Below are 24,012 nucleotides of genomic sequence, written 5' to 3'. Positions count from 1 at the left end.
TACAGGCGTGAGCCACTGTGTCCGGCCCAGTGTTCCTTTCTAAGTGCATTTCATTGGTTTTCAAATGGCTTACTATGAAAGTCTTTAAGATTTGTTGCAGTTCTGGAGTCCCCATTCACGGTTCAGGTTTTTTTGAATGCACAATCTGGAACTTCCAAGTCCAGAGCTTTCCCTTGCCCCAATTTAGAGCTACCCCTGTCCCTCTGTGTGAGTCTTTGCATACACCCACACACAGAGATCTACTTGTCCTATTTGCTGTTATCAATAACATGTACAGTAATGACTGAGGTAGAGGGGAATCATTTAGTTTTAAGTTGAAACTTTGTGAGGAACATTGGTAAGAGTCCCGAGTGTTTACCTGTTCGCAGCCACTGGACTCTATAGGTCTCTACTATTTTGGTCCAGAAAAATTGTTGGCATAAGTACAATGAATCAGGAGAGCTTCATGGAAATTTCTTTTGTGCCTAGCATTGATTACAGTTAGTGACTGGAGCTGTCTCTAGCCACTTTTTGTTTTTCATGTATTTCCCTTACTCTAGGCGCTTGAAGAGGCTCAGAAAGCTATCCAACAACTCTTTGGCAAAATCAAAGATATCAAAGACAAAGCTGAAAAATCAGAGCAAATGGTGAGTTCTGGTTTCTTCCTAACCTTTTTGCACCAAAAGAGGAAGTGAGCTTCTCATCTAGGCATTCTAATAATGAGCTTTTTCTAATAATGGCACCTCCTGCCAACCAGAGTCATCTGCATCTCTAAAGCAAGCCCCCTATGAATGCGTTCAGATCAATTCAAGGGGAGCTGCTGGTCAGTGGTGGCTCACCATCTCTGCTGCCCTGTGTTTGCAGCCCTAGTTTTAAATAGGCAACTTTTTTGTTTTGTTTTGTTTTGTTTTTTGGGTATTTTTTTTTTTTTTTTTGAGATGGAGTCTTGCTCTGTCGCCAGCCTTGGAGTGCAGTGGTGCGATCTTGGCTCACTGCAACCTCCGCCTCCCAGGTTCAAGCGATTCCCCTGCCTCAGCCGCCCAAGTAGCTGGGATTACAGGCGCCTGCCACCACGCCCGGCTAATTTTTTGTATTTTTAGTAGAGAAAGGGTTTCACCATGTTGGCCAGGATGGTCTCAATCTCTTGACCTCATGATCCGCCCGCCTCGGCCTCCCAAAGTGCTGGGATTACAGGTGTGAGCCACTGTGCCCAGCTGCAACTTTTTTTTTTCTCCTTTCTGAAAATAGTTTCCTAGTCATTTTGGATTTTCCTTTCTCTAACATTTCTTGGTATTGGTATCATGCATTTCTCCATCGAGATGTACGGTATGTAGCTCGATGCACGCTGAGAATGGTCCTGGAGCCGGGAGGAGGGAGGGATGGAGGGAGGAGGGATGTCCCCGCCCATGATCTGTGTATGTGGTTTTGGTTGAGTTCTCCCCTGACAAATTTGTGTCCCCCGGTGTTGTGCTCAGAAGCTTGCCCCGAAGACCGAGAATCCAGCATTCACCTTCTCCTCCTCCATGGGAGGCGCTGGGAAGTGCTGGATCCTGGGTTCAGATTCAGACTCAATAATGTCCTGTCTGTCAGTTGTCTCAGAATTCCAGCTTCTTCAACTGTAAAATAAGAATAATGGCATTTGCCTCACAGGGTTGTTGTGAGAATTAAACGTATGAAGAGCACTGAGCATAGTCCTAGGGACCTGGATTTTCTGTGGTCCTTCCCCAAGGGTGCACCACACCCAGCAGCACCCAGGGGCCCTCGTCCTTCACCAAGGATGCACCACACCCAGCAGCACCCAGGGGCCCTCGTCCTTCCCCAAGGGTGCACCACACCCAGCAGCACCAGGGGCCCTCAAAGCGTGAAGATCAGCGAGAGTATCCGATGCTGCTTTTGCTGGAGTTGATTGCATTTATTGATATCCTTATGATGCTAATCTGTGTTCTGGAGTATGCTTCCTCTTCCAACCGAGGGGGTTTGCAGTGACAGTTTACTCCCAAGTTATGAGATGTCTTATTTTAAAGCAGCTTGCTTTCCTGGACAGTGCTGTGCTGAAGGGAGGAAGAGGTGGGAGTGAGGGGAGAAGTGATCTTTGTTGAGCTCTTTCAGTGCCAGCAGTGTGCTGGTTCCTTTGTGTCAGCACTCTAATTTAGCCCTCACCACAACCTTATGAACTAGGATTTATGTTCATTATTATCTTTGCGATTACCCATCTTATAGATGAGAAAACTGAGACTCAGTGAGGCTGAGAAACTTGTTCTAGGATGCATCGTTGGTGAGTGGTAGAGCTGGGGTTCAGCCCTAGATCTGTCTGACTCTACAACCTCCCATTTCATGCTCTACCCGTTTTCGCAGCCCGTGGGCAACAGTTGAGGCAAATCAACTATGGGCATTCTGTCTCACAGGTGGTCTCGTGTAAGTCAGTTGAGGCGAATCAACCATGGGCCTTCTGTCTCGCAGATGATCTCGTGTAGGTTTGACCTGAGTACCCCTGGTGTGCCCTGCCATTGATGGCTTTGTTTAGGGAAAAATCAGTGGTTCAGTTTGTCTAGAGAAACACAGGCTGTGGGATGGGGAGTGACGGGAGATCCTGGGAATAAAGAGACCAGTCAGCTCCAGTGCAGAGCAGTGAGGGCCTGAACAAGGAGTAGAGAGAAGGGATAGAGTCTTGAGATGAAGCAGAGGGAGAATATTTAGGACATAGAGAGAAGGGATAGAGTCTTGAGATGAAGCAGAGGGAGAATATTTAGGACATAGAGAGAAGGGATAGAGTCTTGAGATGAAGCAGAGGGAGAATATTTAGGACTTGATGCAGGGACCAGGAAGAGTCATAGATGATGTGACTTTGAACACAGTGGTTAAAGACCCCTGATGCAGCCGGGCACGGTGGCTCATGCCTGTAATCCCAGCAGTTTGGGAGGCCAAGGAGGGGGGATCACTTGAGGCCAGGAGTTCAAGACCAGCCTGGCCAACATGGCAAAACCGTGTCTCTACTAAAAATACAAAAATTAACCAGGCGTCGTGGAGCACACCTGTAATCCCAGCTACTCTGGAGGCTGAGGCAGAGAATCGCTTGCCTGGGAAGTGGAGGCTGCAGTGAACCAAGATCGCACTACTGCAGTACAGCCTGGGCGACAGAGCGAAACTCTATCTCAAAAAATAAAAAAATAAATAAATAAATAAAGACTCCCTATGTTAGACTGAAGCTAAAAACGCTGGAAGAGATACAGAGATTTTTTTGTAGGAAAAAGGATGCTGATTTCAGAGTTGCAAGTGGGTGATCAGGTTACAGGGCCAATCTTCAGCCTTCTATATCTAATTTATTATACCACTCCTGATTTATTTATTTTTATTTTTTTTGCCCCAAATTTAAGTATTTGGTAAAGTGGTGGTGGTCTTAACCTTTTTTTTTTTTTTTAATTCATTGGAAACAGAGATTGTTTGGAGGTTACAGGAGAGAAGGCTTGATGGGGAAGTCCCCATGAAAGAGGCTTTTTATAGCTAAGATCCAGGTAAGGCTTGCAGGATCATAGGTGTGGAATTGAGCTGTGCAGGTCGTAACCTGTATGAGTTCACCTAGGGTGATCAGACCCTGAAAGAGCAGGGCACACGAACTCACGGCCGAGTGTCTCACTTCAGTGGGATGTATCTATCCACGAACTCACGGCCGAGTTTCTCACTTCAGTGGGATGTATCTATCCACGAACTCACGGCCGAGTGTCTCACTTCAGTGGGATGTATCTATCCACGAACTCACGGCCGAGTGTCTCACTTCAGTGGGATGTATCTATCCACGAACTCACGGCCGAGTATCTCACTTTAGTGGGATGTATCTACCCACGAACTCCCTGCCGAGTTTCTCACTTTAGTGCGATGTATCTATCCAAGAACTCACGGCCAAGTTTCTCACTTTGGTGGGATGTATCTATCCACGAACTCCCTGCCGAGTTTCTCACTTCAGTGGGATGTATCTATCCACGAACTCACGGCCAAGTTTCTCACTTCAGTGGGATGTATCTATCCACGAACTCACGGCCGAGTTTCTCACTTCAGTGGGATGTATCTATCCACGAACTCACGGCCGAGTTTCTCACTTCAGTGGGATGTATCTATCCACGAACTCACGGCCGAGTGTCTCACTTCAGTGGGATGTATCTATCCACGAACTCACGGCCGAGTTTCTCACTTTAGTGGGATGTTATCTATCCACGAACTCACGGCCGAGTGTCTCACTTCAATGGGATGTATCTATCCACGAACTCCCTGCTGAGTTTCTCACTTTAGTGGGATGTAACTATCCACGAACTCCCTGCCGAGTTTCTCACTTTAGTGGGATGTATCTATCCACGAACTCACGGCCGAGTATCTCACTTTAGTGGGATGTATCTATCCACGAACTCCCTGCCGAGTTTCTCACTTTAGTGGGATGTATCTATCCACGAACTCACGGCCGAGTATCTCACTTTAGTGGGATGTATCTATCCACGAACTCCCTGCCGAGTTTCTCACTTTAGTGCGATGTATCTATCCAAGAACTCACGGCCGAGTTTCTCACTTTAGTGGGATGTATCTATCCACGAACTCCCTGCCGAGTTTCTCACTTTAATGAGGATATATCTATCCACGACCTCAACGGCCGAGTTTCTCACTTTAATGAGGATGTATCTATCCACAAACTCACGGCCAAGTTTCTCACTTTAATGAGGACGTATCTATCCATGAACTCATGGCCAAGTTACTCACTTTAATGGGATGTATCTATCCAGTGACTACAGTATTTGTGTTTGGTATCCAGGGCACTCCCTTCCTTCCAGGTATCACAGAACCTGGGCAACCAAATTGCTATTAAGAAACTTTCGCTATGTGCACCGGAAGACAAAGGTCCTCTTTTCCTTGCCTAATGCAGCCATGGCTCGTGGTGCCAAGAAGCATCTGAAGCGGGTAGCAGCTCCAAAGCATTGGATGCTGGATAAATTGACCGGTGTGTTTGCTCCTCGTCCGTCCACCAGTCCCCACAAGTTGAGAGAGTGTCTTCCCCTCATCATTTTCCTAAGGAACAGACTTAAGAAGATTTGCATGCAGCGGTTCATTAAGATCGATGGCACGGTCCGAACTGATATAACATACCCTGCTGGGTTCATGGATGTCATCAGCATTGACAAGACAGGAGAGAATTTCCATCTGATCCGTGACACCAAAGGTTGCTTTGCTGTACACCTGAGGAGACCAAGTACAAGTTGTGCAAAGTGAGAAAAATCTTTGTGGGCACAAAAGGAATCCCTCATCTGGTGACTCATGATGCTCGCACCATCCGCTACCCTGACCCCTCATCAAGGTGAATGACACCATTCAGATTGATTTGGAGACTGGCAAGATGACCGATTTCATCACGTTCGACACTGGCAAGCCATATATGGTGACTGGAGGTGCTCACCTGGGAAGAGTTGGTGTGATCCCCAACAGAGAGAGGTACCCGGGATCTTCTGACGTGGTTCATGTGAAAGACACCAGTGGCAACAGCTTTGGCACTCAAGTTTCCAACATTTTCACTATTGGCAAGGGCAACAAACGATGGATTTCTCTTCCCCGAGGAAAGGGTATCCGCCTCACCATTGCTGAAGAGAGAGACAAGAGACTGGCGGCCAAACAGAGCAGCGGGTGAAATGGTCCGTGGGTGACATGTTAGATCTTTGTACGTAATTAAAAATAATGTGGCATGATAAAACACACACACACACACACACACACACACACATTTCTTAGTCAGCATGGACCAAGAAACACAGTGGATGATTTCACCTGGGTGTTAGTAAAGTTGGGGAATTTTTCCAACTTCTCTATTGAATATGCTTTTCTGGTGACTGAAATATACTTGCATTCCCAGAGACAGCTTCTCTTCTCTTGGACCTGCTGAAACAACACTGTCAGGCTCTTACTCCCCAAATTGCCTTCTCACTCCCTGAAGACTGCTCCTGCCCTCCTAGTAACTTACATGTTAAGCGTATGTTACAGAGCTTATATTTCAATCTTCTTGAGATTTGAAAGTCTTCTTTGCTGGAAGCTCAGGCCCTCATTCCATTAGTAAAGACCGTCTGAGTACCTAGTACTGACTGATAGGTGTTTTATATGGCCCAGCGGCTTCATCACCAGAAGGCACACTTTCCTCACCTTGTTCAAGGAAAGGTGCTGTGCTTACCTCCTCTGTCCTGTGTGCTCAATACTGAATTGCTGTTTGGATCATTTCATTTGGGGTAAAAAAATAAAGTTCATTTCATGCTCACAACTGAAGGTTTTATAACCCTGAGTAAAGTCCAAAGAGATGCCACATTAAATTTTAAATGCCTGGTTGGAAATTATTTTTATTTTGTATTGTGAGAATGTTTGCTAACCTGAGATTTTTCCCTGCTTCATCTGCATTCGTTTCTTACAGAGCTACTTGCAGAAGTGTTTTACATCTTTCTTGACCGTCTTCCTTTCTTTCTTGTGGTTTTTCAATGTTTAGGTGAAAGAAATCACCCGTGATATTAAGCAATTAGATCACGCCAAACGCCACCTGACCACCTCAATCACCACACTGAACCACCTGCACATGCTGGCAGGAGGTGTCGACTCCCTCGAGTAAGCAATGCCAACTTTCTCTTTTGGGGCCACGGGAAATGTATCGCATAGAGAAAATGGTGTTGTCGCCTATTTACTTCTCAGCCAGGAAAGTCTCACCATCCTGCCCCACTTTCTGCAAATTGGCTTCAAGTGTTCAGTCACCATTTTTGCTTTGTGCCCTCTGGTGTTCAGAACCTAACAAACACTGGCAGCTAGTCAAAAGGGGACCCCAGAAGCCTTTCAGGACGACTCCAAGAATATGGCCCATCTTCAGGCTGTGGCTCTGTACCATCAAGGCAGACAGAGTGACACAGGGCCATATTCACTCCAGGCAGACAGAGTGACACAGGCCCATATGCACTCCAGGCAGACAGAGTGACGCGGGCCCATATTCACTCCAGGCAGACAGAGTGACACAGGCCCATATTCACTCCCTGCTGCTTCTGCCTCAGCAGGTTTCCTGCTTGCGTTGGGCTGAGTTGCACTGTCATGGAAGAGACCCTATGAGACAGAACTCAATCATTCAAACCACTTTTTTTTATAAAGTAGATTTCCGTTTGGCTTGTAGAGGGAATGATACATCAGAACATTAGAAATAGAGAAGGAAGAGCTGGTGATTTACTACAAAGGAGCAATCTAAAGCCTCCTTTACTAGCAAGATTCTGACACTCCAGCTCACCTCTGTGGCCCGTCTCAGGCTGGGGACTCCCCCTGCTCCAGCCTCAGTGTGATTCCGTATGTGGACAGGGAAAGCGCATCGTCATAGAAACTGAGATGCAGCATTCAAAGTCCTGGGTGGGGGAAGTGGGAGAGTGCCTTGAGGGAAAGAGGAGGAGGGGCGGGCCCCTTCCTGACCTCTCTAGGTATTGGATGAGCTCCAGGGATGCCTGGTCCACTCTCCTGTGAGCAGTGAGAGCAGCGGCCAGAGGGAGGCCAGAGGGCGGTCACATTTGTTCCTTCGTGGGGTGGTCGGTGTCCACCAAACCATCAGACCAGGCAGTGGTAAGACTGGGCGGTGGTAAGACCAGGCGGTGGTAAAACCAGGTGGTGGTAGCAACGGAACACCTTGGCTTGAACTTGATCCTGTCTTTTTCTTTTTTCTTTTTTTTTTTTTTTTTTGAGTTGGAGTCTGGCTCTGTCGCCCAGGCTGGAGTGCAGTGGCGCGATCTAGGCTCACTGCAAGCTCCGCCTCCCGGGTTCCCGCCATTCTCCTGCCTCAGCCTCCCGAGTAGCTGGGACTACAGGCGCCCGCCACTAAGCCCGGTTAATTTTTGTATTTTTAGTAGAGACGGGGTTTCGCCGTGTTAGCCAGGATGGTCTCGATCTCCTGACCTTGTGATCTGCCCGCCTCGGCCTCCCAAAGTGCTGGGATTACAGGCTTGAGCCACCGCGCCCGGCCAATCCTGTCTTTTTCAATGCTTCTTATGGAAAATCATAAATTACAAATTTAATGAAATAACCCAACCCTAATGAAAAATTTAGATCTAATAGTTTATATTTCCTCCCTGTGTGTAACTTGATTTTATCAGCATCCTTTTATTTAAGCGTCATTAACCTTAGCAGTAGGGAAAGTAGAGGTCTGTGATACAGACGCCTTAGAACCTACAGATTTCAGTTAATAGGTAAAGTGCTGCTCTTTGTGTATTTTTGTTTTTGTTTTTGAGACGGAGTCTCCCACTGTCACCCTGGCTGGAGTGCAGTGGCACGATCTCGGGTCACTGAAACCTCCGCCTCCCAGGTTCAAGTGAGTCTCTTGCCTCAGCCTCCCGAGTAGCTGGGATTACAGGCATCCACCACCACGCCCAGCTAATTTTGTGTATTTTTAGTAGAGACGGTGTTTCACCGTGTTGGCCAGGATGATCTCGATCTCGTGACTTCGTGATCTGCCCGCCTCGGCCTCCCACAGTGTGGGTATGACAGGCGTGAGCCACCTCGGCCTCCCACAGCGCGGGGATGACAGGCTGAGCCACCGCGCCTGGCCGCACCCTTTGTGTTTGGTTTGCTCATAGGCTGTAATCCTCAGATAGTAACATCCCTACCCCGGTTCTCTGTCCCAAGCTTGCTAATCCCATAATATCCAACCCAAATTCTAAATTCATCGTCTTCCCAGATTCCCCTCCCCACACCAAATGAGAATTCATCACTCACACATTCTTCCTGCCGTAGCACATAATTTGTACTTCTGTTTAGAACATAGTTCATCCTTTTTGATACTAGTTAGATGTGTACTTGACTCTCTCCCTTACTATATGGTGTCACCTTGAGGATTTGGACCAGATCCTGTTTTTTCCTCCCACAACGCACAGCAGCTTATATACTCAGTGCTCAGCGAACGTTGATTCAGCTGAGTTGATATCTGTTTGAGAGCTAGCGTGGGTTGTTCTGTGTCTGTATCTTGCGTCTTTAGTGTTTTTCTAGACTTTTAAACTTATTCTTTCCTTGCAGAGCCATGACCAGGCGAAGACAATACGGAGAAGTTGCTAATCTCCTTCAGGGTGTGATGAATGTCCTGGAGCACTTCCACAAGTATATGGGGATTCCGCAGATCCGGCAGCTTTCCGAAAGGTAAACTGTCACCAGAGGGAAAGTATATGGGGATTCCGCAGATCCGGCAGCTTTCCGAAAGGTAAACTGTCACCAGAGGGAAAGTATATGGGGATTCCGCAGATCCGGCAGCTTTCCAAAAGGTAAACTGTCACCGGAGGGAAAGTATATGGGGATTCCACAGATCCGGCAGCTTTCCGAAAGGTAAACTGTCACTGGAGGGAAAGTATATGGGGATTCCGCAGATCCGGCAGCTAAACTTTCCAAAAGGTAAACTGTCACCGGAAGAAGTGATCTTGCTTTCAGAAAAGGACCTGGTGCTAGGAAGTGCTTAAGCACTTAGCTCAGCGTGTTCACTGCAGAGTCTTAGTGTGTGAAGGAATATCAGATGCTACCTGATCTAACTGTCTGGTGCAGACGTTCCCCCACTTTACCCCTTCCCATGTCTTCCAAAGCTGCCTGTGGTAGATAGTTACAGTTGTATATATGGACAACTCTCAGTTGTCCCCATTTGTGAGAGAAACTGTTCTAGGTATCTATTTCTTTGTAACAAACCAGCACAAAACTTAGTAGCTTAAAACAATAATTGTTTTGCACGTATAATTTGGCCTGGCTCGGGGACCAGCTCATCCCTGCTCCGTGCAGCATTAGCCGAGGCAGCTCAGGAGGGGACTGGAGAATGCATTGGCTCACTCTCATGGCTGGCTCCTTGGTGCTTGCTGTCAGCTGGGAGCTTGGCCAGGCCGTTGCTGGGATTCTTTGTTGTCTTCCACGGGCTGCTTGGACTTCCTCACGGTAAGGTGGCTGGTTCCAAGAATGAGCGTCCCAAGAGAACCAAGCCTTGGAAATTTCATAGCATCACTTCTGCCATAGTCACAAGGCTGCTAAGATTCAAGAGGAAGGAACATAGTCTTCTCCCACCCACTAACGGGAGGAATGTCAAAGTCACATTGTTACAAAAAGCATGTGGGATGGGATAGATTGCTGTGGCGGTCTTTAGAAAATACAGTGAGCCACGGCCGGGTATGGTGGCTCACACCTGTAATCCCAGCACTTTGGGAGGCCGAGGCGGGTGGATCACCCGAGGTCAGGAGTTCGAGGCCAGCCTGGCCAACATGGCGAAACCCCGTCTCTACTAAAAATACAAAAATTATCTGGACATGGTGGCAGGTGCCTGTAATCCCAGCTACTCGGGAAGCTGAGGCAGGAGTCACTTGAACCTGGGAAGTGGAGGTTGCAGTGAGCTGAGATCCTGCCATTGTACTCTAGCCTGGGCGACAGGGTGAGACTCAAAAAAAAAAAAAAATACAGTGAACCACAAAAACTTTAGATACGATAAAAAGATGACTTTCCCCCCAACCTTATTCTTTCCTTCTTATTGCTGTTGAGTTTTAATCCCAGATTCAGATCCAGTGGAAAGGAAAGTAATTTCTCAGAGCGAAGGAGGATGAGGATTCCAAGGGAGGACGAGGAGGAGTTGATGCACCACCTTTTCTGTTAGAAGGAGGGGCAGGAAGAACACTGAGAAGGCAGAGACCGTCACAATTGACAAATTCTAACCTTCCTTGCAGCAAAGAAGAAATGAAGGCGTTGTTACTGAGCAGCAGCTACGTTTCTGACTCTGCCTTCTTAATAAGGCCCGAATGCTACAGGCTTCTTTGTTTTCCTTAAGTTTCCTTATTTGTAATTATATAAGTAATACACATAGACTTTAAAAAATAGAGACAGGGTCTCACTCTGTCACCCAGGATGGAGTGTAGTGGCAGAATTACTGCTCACTGCAGCTTGGAACTCCTGGGCTCAAGTGATCCTCCCACCACAGTTTCCCAAGCAGCTGGGACTACAAGCACGCAGCACCTCACCCAACTAACTTTGTTACTTTTTTGTAGAGACAGGGTCTCACTCTGTGGCCCAGGGCTGGTCTTGGGCTCCCAGTGCATCGGGGTTACAGGCGTGAGCCACTGCACCTGGTTCCACATCTTCTATTGTTTAAAAAGGTCAAATATGTATACAGGTGAAACCTAAGTTCCCTTTACCTAGACTTCAGAATCCCATTGTTGTCCTCAGAGGTGGTAATTGTTATCAGTTTAATGGCTATCACTGCGGATTTGTGTGTGTGTATTTACGTAAATCTGTAGTTTAATGGCTATCGCTCCGGATTTGTGTGTGTGTATTTACATAAATCTGTAGTTTCAGTGGCTATCGCTCTGGATTTGTGTGTGTATTTACATAAATCTATAGTTTTAATCCTATCTCTCCGGATTTGTGTGTGTATTTATATAAATCTATAGTTTCAGTTAATGGCTTTGTTTTTGCTTTGTTTTGTTTTAACTAAATGGTTTCATGCCTTACGCTTTATTCTAAAAACTGCTTTTTGTTTTCAACCACATGTATTTTAGATATTTTTTTTCTCATCAGTATGTATAAACCTGCTTCATTCTCTGGAATTGATGCACAGAACCCCATAGCGTGACATACCACAGATTATTTCACCATTTTGGTAGCACTAGGTCGTTGTTTCTAATTCTTAAAATATGCCCCCTTTTGCACATATGCAAGTATTTCTCTGGGACAGATTCTGGGTTATAGGTTTGTATACATTTAAAATTTTAGTAGCTACTGCCCATTTGCCCTCCAGCAAAGCTTTATATACTTGTAGTACGATCTGTACTGTATGAGAGCACCCTTACCCTCAGCAACACTTGATATTGTTGTTTTTCATTTTTATCTATCTTATGGTTGAAAACGGTATCCGGTTCCTTTAATTTTCATTTTCCTTGTAGCTAGTAAGATTAGTGTTTTGTTTTGTTTTTTTGAGACGGAGTCTTGCTGTGTTGCCCAGGCTGGAGTGCAGTGGCGTGGTCATAGCTCACTGCAACCTGGAACTCCTGGGCTCAAACCATCCTCCTGCCTCCACCTCCTGAGTAGCCAGGAATACAGGCAAATACCACCATGCCTGGCTGATTTTTAACATTTTTCTGTAGAGGTGGGATCTTCTTATGTTGCCCAGGTTGGTCTTCAACTCCTGGGCTCAAGTGATCCTCCTGCCTCATCCTCCCAAAGTGCTGGGATTACAAGCGTGAGCCACTGTACCTAGCCCCAGTTGTCTTCTTCCTCTAAACACTCATGAGTTTCTCATACTCTAAGAAATTATTCTCCTTTATTCCTTTCTTTGAGTAGTCTCTACAACTTGGTCTCTGCATTCTTTCCTTGTGGAATTCTTGTTACGTGAACGTTGGATCTTCTAGATCTGCTGCCATGTCTCTTAATTTTCCTTTCATGCTTTCTGTCTCTTTGTCCTTTTGAACTGCTTTCTGAAAGAATTCCTCAACCCAGTCTTCCTATTTTAATTTATTCTTCACTTGCATCCATTGTGCTATTTGGCCCAGCTGTTGAATTTTTATTTTAAAAATCCAGCTTTTTAATTTCCAGCATATCTAGCTGATTCTTTTCTCATGGGCATAATATTCTCATGTCTCTCCCACGGAATAGAAATTATGTGTTTGTTAAAGCACTGGGTTGCCTGTTCCATTTCTCTGTCCTACAGTGTACAATCTTCAGTGCCTGTTCCATTCCTCTGTCCTCCAGTGTAAGATCTTCAGTGCGTGTTCCATTCCTCTGTCCTCCAGTGTAAGATCTTCAGTGCCTGTTCCATTTCTCTGTCCTCAAGTGTAAGCTCTTCAGTGCCTGTTCCATTCCTCTGTCCTCCACTGTAAGATCTTCAGTGCCTGTTCCATTCCTCTGTCCTCCAGTGTAAGATCTTCAGTGCCTGTTCCATTCCTCTGTCCTCCAGTGTAAGATCTTCAGTGCCTGTTCCATTCCTCTGTCCTCCAGTGTAAGATCTTCAGTGCCTGTTCCATTCCTCTGTCCTCCAGTGTAAGATCTTCATTGCCTGTTCCATTCCTCTGTCCTCCAGTGTAAGATCTTCGGTGCCTGTTCCATTCCTCTGTCCTCCAGTGTAAGATCTTCGGTGCCTGTTCCATTCCTCTGTCCTCCAGTGTAAGATCTTCGGTGCCTGTTCCATTCCTCTGTCCTCCAGTGTAAGATCTTCGGTGCCTGTTCCATTCCTCTGTCCTCTAGTGTAAGATCTTCGGTGCCTGTTCCATTCCTCTGTCCTCCAGTGTAAGATCTTCGGTGCCTGTTCCATTCCTCTGTCCTCCAGTGTAAGATCTTCAGTGCCTGTTCCATTCCTCTGTCCTCCAGTGTAAGATCTTCAGTGCCTGTTCCATTCCTCTGTCCTCCAGTGTAAGATCTTCAGTGCCTGTTCCATTCCTCTGTCCTCCAGTGTAAGATTTTCATTGCCTGTTCATTCCTCTGTCCTCTAGTGTAAGATCTTCATTGCCTGTTCCATTCCTCTGTCCTCCAGTGTAAGATCTTCAGTGCCTGTTCCATTCCTCTGTCCTATAGTGTAAGATCTTAGTGCCTGTTCCATTCCTCTGTCCTCCAGTGTAAGATCTTCAGTGCCTGTACCATTCCTCTGTCCTCCAGTGTAAGATCTTCATTACCTGTTCCATTCCTCTGTCCTCCAGTGTAAGATCTTCAGTGCCTGTTCCATTCCTCTGTCCTATAGTGTAAGATCTTCAGTGCCTGTTCCATTCCTCTGTCCTCCAGTGTAAGATCTTCAGTGCCTGTTCCATTCCTCTGTCCTCCAGTGTAAGATCTTCAGTTTGTTCAGCATGGCAATTCTTTCTCTTTAGCATTTCTCAAATGTTTAGTGATTCTTAGCTGAAACCTCATTTTTATTTTATTTGTTTATTTTTTGAGACCAAGTCTCACTCCATCGCCCAGGCTGGAGTGCAGTGGCACAATCTCAGCTCACTGCAATCGCCGCCTCCTGGGTTTAAGCAATTCTCCTGCCTCAGCCTCCCAAGTAGCTGGGACTACAGGCGCCCACCACCCATGCCCAGCTAAGTTTTGTATTTTTAGTAGAGACAGGGTTTCACCATGTTGGCCAGGCTGGTCTCGAACTCTTGACACCTCAAGTGATCCACCTGTCTCAGTCTCCCAAAGTGCTGGGATGACAGGTGTGAGCCACCGTGCCCGGCCTTATTTTTATTTTTGACATTCTCTATTAGTCTGATCAAGAATGCTCTTTTACTGCTACCTGCTCGTGGGCGAGAAATGGGAATTGCTACTTGGCTAAGTGTATCACAGACAGCTTTTCCAAAGTGAGGGGGGCCAGACCTGGAGAAACCTGCCAGGTGGGTGTCCCAGCAGCTGATCTCCTAGGCTTGGAGGCTCCCTGGTCTTCTTGGGTGTTGGCCGCCCCTCTGGCTACTGCTGAAGTTCTCAGACCCAGAGGCCCACCCCTGCCGCCTGACGTGAGCATTCACGCATTCACGGTGTGGGTGCAGACACGGACAGCGGCCCCATCCTGCTCCTGGTATCGCCACCTTCATGTCTTTCATTTTCGAGAAGCATTTTTGGGCAGTGATTTTCTGTCATCCTTCCTACCAGGAAGTCCTCAGGCTTCTAGTATACCACTTTTCTTGTCTGGATTTGGATTTTCATGAAAATCTTTTTATTATTTCTGACGCTCCGGGGCAGGAATGGGAGGTTGCAACGTGTGCTCAGTGTGCATCTTGCCGAGCTTGGCAGAACGCTAGGGAAATCGCCACCCTTTCCCTCATCCTTCCTACCCCTCACACCTAGAGCCAGCTGATCACCTTATCAGACTGGACTGTGAGGCAGCCAAGAAAGCAGGCGAACAGGACTTTATGAGCTGCAAGAAAGAAGGAGCCTGGATGGAGCAGGCAGATTTGCTGTCAGCGGATGGGGGAGGAGGAAGGCAGTCCCTTCTACCCCTGCTCTCAGGATGATTCAGAGTTGATCTCTTTCATATTCATTTGTTCTTTTCTTCATTTGCATGATAGATATTTACTCTGCATTTTCTACATCCTAGGCCCCGTGCTGGGGACTGAAGGCACAAAGATAAGAAATACACACTCTCTGCCTTCAAAGAGTTCACCATTTTTGTATGGAGAAGAAAGACATTAATAGAAGATTCCAGTATAACAGATGTAACAAAACTGGTATATGCTGTACAAGGCATAGCAGGATCTCAGAAGAGGAATTGATAGGCTGAAGCAGGGGCTGAGGGCAGGGGTCATAGACAAATTCTGTTTTAATCTGAATCTTAAAAGAATGGGTGGGATCTTACCAACGTGACAGTAATGGGGGAAAGAAGGAAGAGGGAGTCTCATGGAGTTTGGAGGCAGCAGAGGGAGACAGGGCTGCATAGGTAGATCGGGTCAGGTTTTATATGCCTTGCTAAATAATTTATTTTTTATTTTGTGGACAGTGAAAGATTTTAAGTGCGGGGGGCATGATCTCACTTGTATTTTGTAAAAGTCTAGTGGATTATAGAGGTACAGGAGTCTGGATAAAATAAGACCCTTAGGAGGCAGTGGCCACGCGGTCACGGAGATGTGTGTGGGAGCCGATCTCCAGTCCGTGATATGGATTAGAAAAGATAAGACCCTTAGGAGGCAGTGGCCACGCGGTCACGGAGATGTGTGTGGGAGCCGATCTCCAGTCAGTGGTGTGGATTAGAAAAGATAAGACCCTTAGGAGGCAGTGGCCACGCGGTCACGGAGATGTGTGTGGGAGCCAGTCTCCAGTCCGTGATATGGATTAGAAAAGATAAGACCCTTAGGAGGCAGTGGCCACGCGGTCACGGAGATGTGTGTGGGAGCCGATCTCCAGTCAGTGGTGTGGATTAGAAAAGATAAGACCCTTAGGAGGCAGTGGCCATGCGGTCACGGAGATGTGTGTGGGAGCCAGTCTCCAGTCCGTGATACGGATTAGAAAAGATAAGACCCTTAGGAGGCAGTGGCCACGCGGTCACGGAGATGTGTGTGGGAGCCAATCTCCAGTCAGTGGTATGGATTAGAAAAGATAAGACCCTTAGGAGGCAGTGGCCACACGGTCACGGAGATGTGTGTGGGAGCCGATCTCCAGTCCGTAGTATGGATTAGAAAAAATAAGACCCTTATCAGGCAGAGGCCACGCGGTCATGGAGATGTGTGTGGGAGCCGATCTCCAGTCCGTGGTATGGATTAGAAAAGATAAGACCCTTATCAGGCAGAGGCCACACGGTCACGGAGATGTGTGTGGGAGCCAGTCTCCAGTCCGTGGTATGAATTAGAAAAGATAAGACCCTTATCAGGCAGAGGCCACGCGGTCACCGAGATGTGTGTAAGAGCCAGTCTCCAGTCCGTGGTATGAATTAGAAAAGATAAGACCCTTATCAGGCAGAGGCCACGCGGTCACCGAGATGTGTGTGGGAGCCAGTCTCCAGTCCGTGATATGGATTAGAAAAGATAAGACCCTTAGGAGGCAGTGGCCACACGGTCACGGAGATGTGTGTGGGAGCCAGTCTCCAGTCCGTGGTATGAATTAGAAAAGATAAGACCCTTATCAGGCAGAGACCACGCGGTCACGGAGATGTGTGTAAGAGCCAGTCTCCAGTCCGTGATATGGATTAGAAAAGATAAGACCCTTAGGAGGCAGTGGCCACACGGTCACGGAGATGTGTGTGGGAGCCTATCTCCAGTCGGTATAAAGGAAGGGGTTGTGCATGGCAGGAACATGACAGAACTAACTTTTATTTGGCAGAAACCAGCATAGGGATTCGTTAATAACTCAAAATGGATCTGTAACCTAGATGTAAAACCTAATTCTAAAACTCTTAGAAGAAAACGAAGACCAGATCTTCACACCACTGTATTTGGCAGCAGTTTCTTGGATATGACACCAAAGTCCTAGGCAACAAAAGGAAAACATAGATAAATGGGACTTTATGAAAAATTTTAAAACTTGTGCATGAAAAAACACTATCAGCAGGGTAAAATGGCAATGCACAGAATGGGAAGAATATTTCCAAATCATTTATCTGATAATGGATTAATATCTAGAATATATAAAGAATTCCCAGAAATCAACAACAAAAAGCCAAACAACTCAATTAAAAAACCAGCAAAGGATTTGAATAAGCATTTCTCCAAAGAAGATAAATAAATGGCCAATAAACATGAAAAGATGCCCCCGTTAGGACGTGAAGTGACACTGCATTGTGGTTTCCACCTGCATTTCTCCAACAGGCTTTTTAGGTTGATGTAGTCCCACTTGTTTCTTTTTGCTTTTGCTGCCTGTACTTTTGGTGGGCTCTTTGCTTTTCAACATTTGTTTAAAGAGGTAGTTTTAAAAATTTGAAGGAACTTAATAATCACTGTTATAATCACATTCCTGAAAAATAGAAAGTCCAACATTCTATGAATATATTTCAGTGCTCCAAACATTCATTATCACATAAGGTTGCTGCAAACACAGGAGGATTTACTTATCTTTTAGTTCATTTCGCAATCTCTATTTGCAATAATTTTGTGTAGGTTAATACAGAATATGTGCTATTAAGTAACACTAAAAAGGCTGGGCATGGTGGCTCACACCTGGAGTCCCAGCACTTTGGTAGGCTGAGACAGGCAGATCGCTTGAGCTCTGGAGTTCAAGACCAGCCTGGACAACATGGTGAAACCCTGTCTCTACCAAAAATACAAAAAGTGAGCTGGTGTGGTGATGTGTGCCTGTGGTTCCAGTTACTTGGGAGGCTGAAATGGGAGGATCACTTGAGCTCCGGAAGTGGAGGCTGCAGTGAGCCGAGACTGTGCCACTGCACTCCAGCCTGGGCAAGAAAGCAGACCCGTCTCGGGGGAAAAAAAAAAATAACACTAAAAAGAGCACAAGAGGAGACAACTTCTTATTTTTATTTTCAGTGCTTGACTAGGATTGTTTTTTTAAGAGGTACTAAACGTTTGAGAAAAGTCCAGACTTCTTATTTTTAGCATCCTTTCTGGTGAATTTGCTTCCCTTATGTTTACGTGCTGATGGTAGAACCATCTGGAAATGAGAGAAATAGCTATTTGTTGTAAGGGGCGGGAGATGGCAGGCGGGTTACCACCCTCTGCATTGCTTCCGTTTCTCAAATTTACTGTCTTGCTGTCTGTAAAGTGTAGAAGTCATGTGAAAAGTTGTGTTCTGAAATCTTTGCCTGTACATTTGAAATAGGAAGTTCATGAGCCTTGATTTGAGCATAGCTAATTCTTCCAACTACCCTTCTGGCAAATGCTTCCATGCTTAATGTAGCATTGGAGGAAAGAGTTTTTTCTTTAGCATCTTTACATTTCAAATCCTCCTGGCCTAAGCATATCCGTGAAAGGGAATGTTTCTAGTCATCAGTCAGTATCTCCCAATGAAGAATGGAAGAGCCTTACATTCTCTTGAAAACCATGAAACTCTTGAACGAAAATATATTTTTCACAGCCATTTCTAACCTCTTATAAATGTGAGAAAGGCTTGGCAGGTCTCATGATGGAGTGAAAAAAGAACTCAACCTGGAAATGGACAGGCCTGCACAGCTCTATGGCCTCGACAAGTTCCTCCTGGGCCTCCTGGGTTGACACGTATGAGTGTTGTCCTCGGTTTCCAAGTATGAGTGTTGTCCTCAGTTGCCAAGTATGAGTGTTGTCCTTGATTTCCAAGTATGAGTGTTGTCCTCGCTTTCCAAGTATGAGTGTTGTCCTCACTTTCCAAGTATGAGTGTTGTCCTCACTTTCCAAGTATGAGTGTTGTCCTCGCTTTCCAAGTATGAGTGTTGTCCTCGCTTTCCAAGTATGAGTGTTGTCCTCGGTTTCCAAGTATGAGTGTTGTCCTCGGTTGCCAAGTATGAGTGTTGTCCTCGGTTTCCAAGTATGAGTGTTGTCCTCGGTTTCCAAGTATGAGTGTTGTCCTCAGTTGCCAAGTATGAGTGTTGTCCTTGATTTCCAAGTATGAGTGTTGTCCTTGATTTCCAAGTATGAGTGTTGTCCTCGCTTTCCAAGTATGAGTGTTGTCCTCGCTTTCCAAGTATGAGTATTGTCCTCAGTTGCCAAGTATGAGTGTTGTCCTCGGTTTCCAAGTATGAGTGTTGTCCTCAGTTGCCAAGTATGAGTGTTGTCCTCGGTTTCCCAGTATGAGTGTTGTCCTCACTTTCCAAGTATGAGTGTTGTCCTCACTTTCCAAGTATGAGTGTTGTCCTCGGTTTCCAAGTATGAGTGTTGTCCTCAGTTGCCAAGTATGAGTGTTGTCCTCGCTTTCCAAGTATGAGTGTTGTCCTCGCTTTCCAAGTATGAGTGTTGTCCTCGCTTTCCAAGTGTGAGTGTTGTCCTCGGTTTCCAAGTATGAGTGTTGTCCTCAGTTGCCAAGTATGAGTGTTGTCCTTGATTTCCAAGTATGAGTGTTGTCCTCGCTTTCCAAGTATGAGTGTTGTCCTCGCTTTCCAAGTATGAGTGTTGTCCTCGCTTTCCAAGTATGAGAGTTGTCCTCGGTTGCCAAGTATGAGTGTTGTCCTCGGTTGCCAAGTATGAGTGTTGTCCTCGATTTCCAAGTATGAGTGTTGTCCTCGATTTCCAAGTATGAGTGTTGTCCTCGCTTTCCAAGTATGAGTGTTGTCCTCGCTTTCCAAGTATGAGTGTTGTCCTTGATTTCCAAGTATGAGTGTTGTCCTCGCTTTCCAAGTATGAGTGTTGTCCTCGCTTTCCAAGTATGAGTGTTGTCCTCGGTTGCCAAGTATGAGTGTTGTCCTCGGTTGCCAAGTATGAGTGTTGTCCTCGCTTTCCAAGTATGAGTGTTGTCCTCGCTTTCCAAGTATGAGTGTTGTCCCCAGTTGCCAAGTATGAGTGTTGTCCTCAGTTGCCAAGTATGAGTGTTGTCCTTGATTTCCAAGTATGAGTGTTGTCCTCGCTTTCCAAGTATGAGTGTTGTCCTCGCTTTCCAAGTATGAGTGTTGTCCTCGGTTTCCAAGTATGAGTGTTGTCCTCAGTTGCCAAGTATGAGTGTTGTCCTCGCTTTCCAAGTATGAGTGTTGTCCTCGGTTTCCGAGTATGAGTGTTTTCCTCGCTTTCCAAGTATGAGTGTTGTCCTCGCTTTCCAAGTATGAGTGTTGTCCTCGCTTTCCAAGTATGAGTGTTGTCCTCGGTTGCCAAGTATGAGTGTTGTCCTTGGTGATCTCAGAAGTGTCTCATGGGGTCACTCAAGATTCTAGGCTGAGATTCTTTATGGTGTCTGTTTGGAACTGTAGCATTTGACTAATTAACCCTGCTGTTTAGAAGACTGTGGTTTGGGAGGGCGGTATATTTATTTGGGAACTGTTGGGGGTGTTTTCTTTGGGACTGTCACTCACAAGGTAACAAAAGTCTCAGGGCTACTTTATCCACAGATATCTGAACAATGTTCATAATTTGCTGTCTGTCTGTGACTCCCCCTTACGAAAAGCTGAGAACACTTTTAGGAAAGGGTGCCTTGGAACAGCCCTGCAGTCACGTGGCATGGAGGATGCCAGAAACCACCTGGTTGACTTTCCTTTCTGGGCAGCACAATGAATCTTTTGTTTCTGAAGAGTGACCCATTTGGGGTTGCCACCATGCAACAGGCTGAACTTACGTGGATGCCAGGAGGAATTTTTGTTTTCCCTGTTCTCTATGAGTTGTAGGCGGACTTTCACAAGAATGGCTAGGAAATCAGTTGGGCACAGTGGCTCATGCCTGTAATCCTAGCACTTTGGGAGGCTGAAGTGGGCAGATCGCTTGAGCCCAGGAGTTTGAGATCAGCCTGGGCAACATGGCAAAACTCCATCTCTACAAAAAATACAAGAATTAGCTGGGCATGGAGGTGCACACCTATAGTCCCAGCTACTCAGGAGGCTGAGAGAAGGGAGGATCACTTAACCCTGGGAGGTTGAGGCTGCAGTGAGCCACAAATGCACCACTGTACTCCAGTCTGAAAAGAAAGGAATGACTAGGAAATCTTGGTAGTTTGGCACATATATGTGCTTTGCTGACAGTTATCAGTTGAGCTACCTCTTTGTAGTGGGAACCTTTTCATGGTTAGAAGAGGAAGGAGTTTAAAGGAATGAGGCCAAAGATAAATTCTTTCAAGTCTGTTGACTTCTTTCTAGAATCCTATTTAAGCAATTGCTTATAAAGACTGAAATTCACATCTTACCCTGAAAATGCATGGGATTGAGGTTTGGGTCTATAGATACCATCAGTGATGTCTGTAAGGGAATAGTTGCTTTCATCTGAGTCATTGATAGCCACTTCACAAACTGCTATTGGTAGAGGCTGGGCGCAGTGACTCACGCCTGTAATCCCAGCACTTTGGGAGGCCGAGGTGGGTGGATCACCTGAGATCAGGAGTTGGAGACCAGCCTGGCCAACATGGTGAAACCCTGTCTCTACTAAAAATACAAAAAATTAGCCAGGCGTGGTGGCAGGCGCCTGTAATCCCAGCTACTTGGGAAGCTGAGGCAGGAGAATCCCTTCAACCCAGGAGGCGGAGGTTGCAGTGAGCCGAGATTATCCCATTGCACTCCAGCCTGGGAGACAAGAGTGAGACTTCGTCTCAAAAAAAAAACAAAGAAAAAAACTGCTGTTGGAAACATTGACATTTATATGCGTATCCTTCTGCTCCAGGATTAAGCATACATCTAACCTCTAGCCACCTGTAAAGCCAGTTAGCACCGTAAGATGGGTGTTGTGGAATAATCAGTACTGGAGAGGACACAGAATCATCTAGTATGGGCTGCTAGCCCCACCCTCTTATTTCACAGCTATTCAAAGTTGTGACCCACAGAGAGGAAGTGACTTGTGATTATGCGGCTCACTAGTAACATAACCAGGTCCAGCCTATCTCAAGAGGTGACTTTGAAAATGAAGAACATGGCGACATAGGCAGTTCTAAGATGGCTGAATAGGAACAGCTCTAGTCTACAGCTCCCAGCTTGAACGACGCAGAAGACGGGTGATTTCTGCATTTCCAACTGAGTTACCAGGTTCATCTCATTGGGGCTTGTCGGACAGTGGGTGCAGGACAGTGGGTGCAGCCCACCAAACATGAGCTGAAGCAGGGCAGGGCATCGCGTCACCCGGGAAGCGCAAGGGGTCAGGGAATTCCCTTTCATAGACAAGCAAAGGTGTGACAGACGGCACCTGGAAAATTGGGTCACTCCCACCCTAATACTGCACTTTTCCAACAGTCTTAGCAAATGGCACACCAGGAGATTATATCTGGTGCCTGGCTCGGCGGGTCCCACACCCACGGAGACTCGCTCATTGCTAGCACAGCAGTCTGAGATCAAACTGCAAGGCGGCAGCAAGGCTGGGAGAGGGGCGCCCGCCATTGCTGAGGCTTGAGCAGGTAAACAAAGTGGCCAGGAAGCTGGAACTGGATGGAGCCCAGCACAGCTCAAGGAGGCCTGCCTGCCTCTGTAGACTCCACCTCTGGGGGCAGGGCATAGCCAAACAAAAGGCAGCAGAAACATCTGCAGACTTAAATGTCCCTGTCTGACAGCTTTGAAGAGAGTAGTGGTTCTCCCAGCACAGAATTTGAGATCTAAGAATGGACAGACTGCCTCCTCAAGTGGGTCCCTGACCCCCGAGTAGCCTAACTGGGAGGCACCCTCCAGTAGGGGCAGACTGACACCTCACACAGCCACGTACCCCTCTGAGACGAAGTCAGGCAGCAACATTGGCTGTTCAGCAGTATTTGCTATTCTGCAGCCTCCGCTGCTGATACCCAGGCAAACAGCATCTGGAGTGGACCTCCAGCAAACTCCAACAGACCTGCAGCTGAGGGTCCTGACTGTTAGAAGGAAAACTAACAAACAGAAAGGACATCCACACCAAAACCCCATCTGTACGTCACCATCATCAAAAACCAAAGGTAGATAAAACCCCAAAGATGGGGAAAAAACAGCAGAAAAGCTGAAAATTCTAAAAATCAGAGCACCTCTCCCCCTCCAAAGGAACAAAGCACCTCGCCAGCAATGGAACAAAGCTGGACGGAGAATGACTTTGACGAGTTGAGAGAAGAAGGCTTCAGACGATCAAACTTCTCTGAGCTAAAGGAGGAAGTTTGAACCCATCACAAAGAAGCTAAAAACCTTGAAAAAAGATTAGACGAATGGCTAACTAGAATAACCAGTCTAGAGAAGTCCTTAAATGACCTAATGGAGCTGAAAACCATGGCACAAGAACTACCTGACGAGCGCACAAGCTTCAGTAGCCAATTCGATCAACTGGAAGAAAGGGTATCAGTGATTGAAGATCGAATGAATGAAATGAAGCAAGAAGAGAAGTTTAGAGAATAAAGAGTAAAAAGAAATGAACAAAGCCTCCAAGAAATACGGGACTATGTGAAAAGACCAAATCTACGTCTTATTGGTGTACCTGAAAGTGATGGGGAGAATGGAACCAAGTTGGAAAACACTCTGCAGGATATTATTCAGGAGAACTTCCCCAACCTAGCAAGGCAGGCCAACATTCAAATTCAGGAAATACAGAGAACACCACAAAGATATTCCTCGAGAAGAGCAATTCCAAGACACATAACTGTCAGACTCACCAAAGTTGAAATGAAGGAAAAAAATGTTAAAGGCAGTCAGAGAGAAAGGTCAGGTTACCCACAAAGGGAAGCCCATCAGACTAACAGCGGATCTTTCGGCAGAAACTCTATAAGCCAGAAGAGAGTGGGGGCCAATATTCAACATTCTTGAAGAAAAGAATTTTCAACCCAGAATTTCATATCCAGCCAAACTAAGCTTCATAAGTGAAGGAGAAATAAAATCCTTTACAGACAAGCAAATGCTGAGAGATTTTTTCACCACCAGGCCTGCCCTACAAGAGCTCCTGAAGGAAGCACTAAACATGGAAAGGAACAACCGGTACTAGCCACTGCAAAAACATGCCAAATTGTAAAGACCATCCATGCTAGGAAGAAACTGCATCAATTAACGAGCAAAATAACCAGCTAACATTATAATGACAGGATCAAATTCACACATAACAATATTAA

The 24,012-nt window shown here is 46.3% G+C and overlaps 1 protein-coding gene and 1 pseudogene across 11 annotated transcripts in view, besides 1 other annotated feature; both read left to right on the top strand.

The window, feature by feature from the left end:
- VPS53 (VPS53 subunit of GARP complex) overlaps positions 1 to 24,012 on the top strand; it is a 206,172-nt gene that overhangs the window by 52,405 nt on the left and 129,755 nt on the right. For 7 of the 11 annotated variants that reach the window (XM_047436344.1, NM_001128159.3, XM_047436346.1 and 4 more), the window contains 3 exons: positions 540 to 626; positions 6,482 to 6,597; positions 9,025 to 9,144. In XM_047436344.1, the coding sequence (XP_047292300.1) occupies positions 540 to 626; positions 6,482 to 6,597; positions 9,025 to 9,144 (323 nt within the window). Of the gene's footprint in view, positions 1 to 539; positions 627 to 6,481; positions 6,598 to 9,024; positions 9,145 to 9,166; positions 9,206 to 9,226; positions 9,328 to 24,012 lie in introns of those variants that run through there. The other 4 variants (XM_047436345.1, NM_018289.4, XM_047436347.1 and 1 more) reach the window with 3 other exon arrangements.
- Positions 4,050 to 5,249: an enhancer, noted in NCBI's record as "BRD4-independent group 4 enhancer chr17:560426-561625 (GRCh37/hg19 assembly coordinates)". NCBI's record gives its function as "activates an origin of replication core promoter dependent on BRD2, P300/CBP, MED14 and CDK7 cofactors, and independent of BRD4, by STARR-seq in HCT116 cells {active_cell/tissue: HCT116}" and the evidence as "EXISTENCE:reporter gene assay evidence [ECO:0000049][PMID:35650434]".
- Positions 4,839 to 5,703, top strand: RPS4XP17 (ribosomal protein S4X pseudogene 17; annotated as a pseudogene).

This window comes from Homo sapiens, chromosome 17 (genome assembly GCF_000001405.40).
Source record: "Homo sapiens chromosome 17, GRCh38.p14 Primary Assembly".
NCBI classification, from domain to species: domain Eukaryota; kingdom Metazoa; phylum Chordata; class Mammalia; order Primates; family Hominidae; genus Homo; species Homo sapiens.
The sequence above is the reverse complement of the archived record's forward strand: the minus strand, read 5'-3'. Positions and strand labels throughout refer to the sequence as shown.